This window comes from Homo sapiens, chromosome 9, assembly GCF_000001405.40.
Source record: "Homo sapiens chromosome 9, GRCh38.p14 Primary Assembly".
NCBI classification, from domain to species: Eukaryota; Metazoa; Chordata; class Mammalia; order Primates; family Hominidae; genus Homo; species Homo sapiens.
Genome location: NC_000009.12, coordinates 73,829,644 through 73,832,520, shown reverse-complemented (window position 1 = coordinate 73,832,520; position 2,877 = coordinate 73,829,644). Strand labels below are relative to the sequence as shown.

General features: G+C 33.7%; 1 annotated feature.

Annotated features, from left to right (window-relative positions):
• Nucleotides 747–1,248: an enhancer, noted in NCBI's record as "NANOG hESC enhancer chr9:76446189-76446690 (GRCh37/hg19 assembly coordinates)". NCBI's record gives its function as "activates a minimal SCP1, AML or CMV promoter by ChIP-STARR-seq in primed H9 embryonic stem cells {active_cell/tissue: H9 hESC(primed)}" and the evidence as "EXISTENCE:reporter gene assay evidence [ECO:0000049][PMID:30033119]".

The following is a 2,877-nucleotide window of genomic DNA, read 5'->3' as shown; positions in this document are numbered from 1 at the left end:
TCTTTACAATATATTTTCATTCTGCAGCAGAAGTTGTAGACAATCATGTTGTCAGGTAATTTGCCTTTGTTTACACAGCTGATAAATGGTCACAATCACATAAGTCTGACTCCAATATTTATTATTTTTATTGCTTTACTATCACAGTAGAAGTTTGTGGAAGGAATAAATGAATGGATATGTGCATGACTATCAGAATGTCTATTTGTACAAAAACCTCTTGACCCCAAAAGGCTGAAATCTACTTAGTGAAAAAGGCTGGAGAACATCAGAGGGAGGAAAGCTTAAAGGTGAATTATTCTTACAGCTAAGCCATGAAGAAGGAAAAAAAGAAAAAAACTAATGCAGAGGTGTACATCCGTTTCCAGTTCTTCATATTTACAAATGTGTACCTGTCAATGGGGTCCCTCAGTAGAAGGAGGGCATTATAAACTGGGAGAAGCTGGTTTTCTTTGGATGAGGTTTCTTCAATAAACTTTGGATTAATCCCTGGAAATTTTAGGCTACTATCGTTGTTCTCTGCAACCCTTTAGTCTGAAGAATTCAGATATGGGCAAAGAAAAGAGATAATAATAGTACTTCAGGTTCATTTTTATATTGTTCAGCCCAGTACACCCAGTACATTCTTTGTTAGGGCACAGAGTCTGCTTTTGGCTGGAAATTCCTTCTTCTGAAAATAAAAGAGCAGAATACAACAGGCTCGGAGAGTATTTAAATATATCCCATATGGGAAGGTTCAACAGTTATCCACAAATTTAGGCTCAACAAAGTTGAATGCTTTCTTCAGTCGTTCCAGAAAGTGAAAATAGCCTTTCTTTCTTTCTATAATCAGAAAATCAGCAAATCTGGGAGAGGCTTTAAATAAGCATTAGGCATATTATTTATGTATTTTATATTTTCTGAATTCTTCAGTTAGATTCCAACATTAAAGAACTTTTGGCAGGTGAATACCTTCAACGGGCTAAAGTACCTGCTGACAGGTAAGTGTCACAATATTGTAGCTTTCATATGCAAATTGGAACGACTGAGCTGGGTTCTCATGAAGGATTCACAACCTGAAATACACACTTAAAAGAAATTAAAATGTTTTAACAATAAAATATGAGAATATTAATCTCCAGTTCACTTTGATGTGACAGAATATAAAATCAGCAGCAATTTCCCTAATGGTGCTGTTGCTCCCCTTTCCCAATAATTGATTTTAATGTCAAATTAAACATCAACACATTGTCAGCCAGCAAGTTGCATGTTGCACTTGAGCCTGTTTTGAGCTAAGGTGTAAATCTCAGATTGGGTTGAATGGTCATGTTTTCCAGATAGTCATGGACTGCAAGTCAAATGCTTCACTTAGAAAAAGATTTATTTGAACTGTGTAGCAAGTAGACATTGATAAATAAACTTATCTTCCCAAAGAGGAATAATTGCTAGGAACATGACTTTCCACATGCAGCGTGAGCTCAATTACTCCATTTATTTATGTAATCAGGGACAGTTCTTGATGTATCCCAGTTAGAGACAGCGTATATACACCAACCTCTGCTTTACCAGCTCTTGACAGCAGCAGTGAGATTTTAAATAAGTATTGATGAATAAAGTTGACTATTTTGCATTCAAGCTTTCATCCAATGCTGTGTATTAGCTTCTAGTCCTTCTTATTATTTAGGAATTTATATAAAAAGTCAGGACCCCTATGTACGAAAGAACAATGTGTCCTCATACCATTATTCTAGAACAAACTTTCCCTTCAAATATTTGGGTATGTGTTTAATTGAGAGAGGTGTGTTATTCAAACCCTATCCTTTACTGACTGTGGGACTCCAGGCAAGTTACTTGTGATTTCTGTATATCAGTGTCATCATCTACCAATTGAAACAATAATTGGACCAACCTCACAAATTCATTGTGATGATTAAATGTATAAACGATAGAGTCGTTACTAGATCAGGTAGGTTGTATTATTGTGTATTGTTGTCTTTTACTTATCAAATAGCATATTTTAAATAGAGTAGATTTCTGAGGTCTAGTTCCTTCTGAAAAGTCAAGATTTTAGAATTACAGTCAAAAGTTCATAAATTAGCTTCCAAAAATAACCCCAAACCATCATGTGTAGAATAGTTATTTACTCGTTCACCCACTATTAATTTGTACTATCAGTGAATAACATAGATCTCCAATTTATGATCAAACCAATATTTAAAAAGGCCAAAACATTTGGAGACAAACATACATTCTATTATCAAATGATAATTTTTATATGAAGAGAGTTAACATGTATATAATTCAAACCAACCTTAACAATTAAGCAACAAATATAATAGAGGCTTCAAATTTGCAAAATAAATCTCCAACATGTGGAATGCAGGGAATATTATCTTGTTATTGTAAGTATGCAGAGATTTTAATTCAAGCTCCACTTTTAGTTCTGGTTTACATCTGGTTGTTGTGAAATTGCAGAGGATGTTTTAAACCCTCAAGTTTTTAAGAAAGGTTAAAGTTAAAACAAAACAGCAAATAAAGAAACAACAAAAACTTGGAAAAACTTGAAGGGACAGGAAACTGACCTTTATTAAACACAGAATAAGTTGTAGAAACTGTGCTATACTTTATTGCATGCTTCATATCAACTAATTACCACAAAATCCTTATAAAGCATATATATATATATATATATATCTTTTATGCTTTAGTAAAATTAAGTACTTACCCAATTTTATACAGTTTAGCAATCAGTAAATTTGAGATATTCCCTAAACCCATTTTCCACCCAGATGCCACTTTGCAAATTAAGGGAACGAAGGAGGTAGACAGAAATTTATTTTTCAAGTCCAATCAGATCCAGGTAAGTTCTAGGAAGAGAGAGGGGTAATTCCTTAAAAA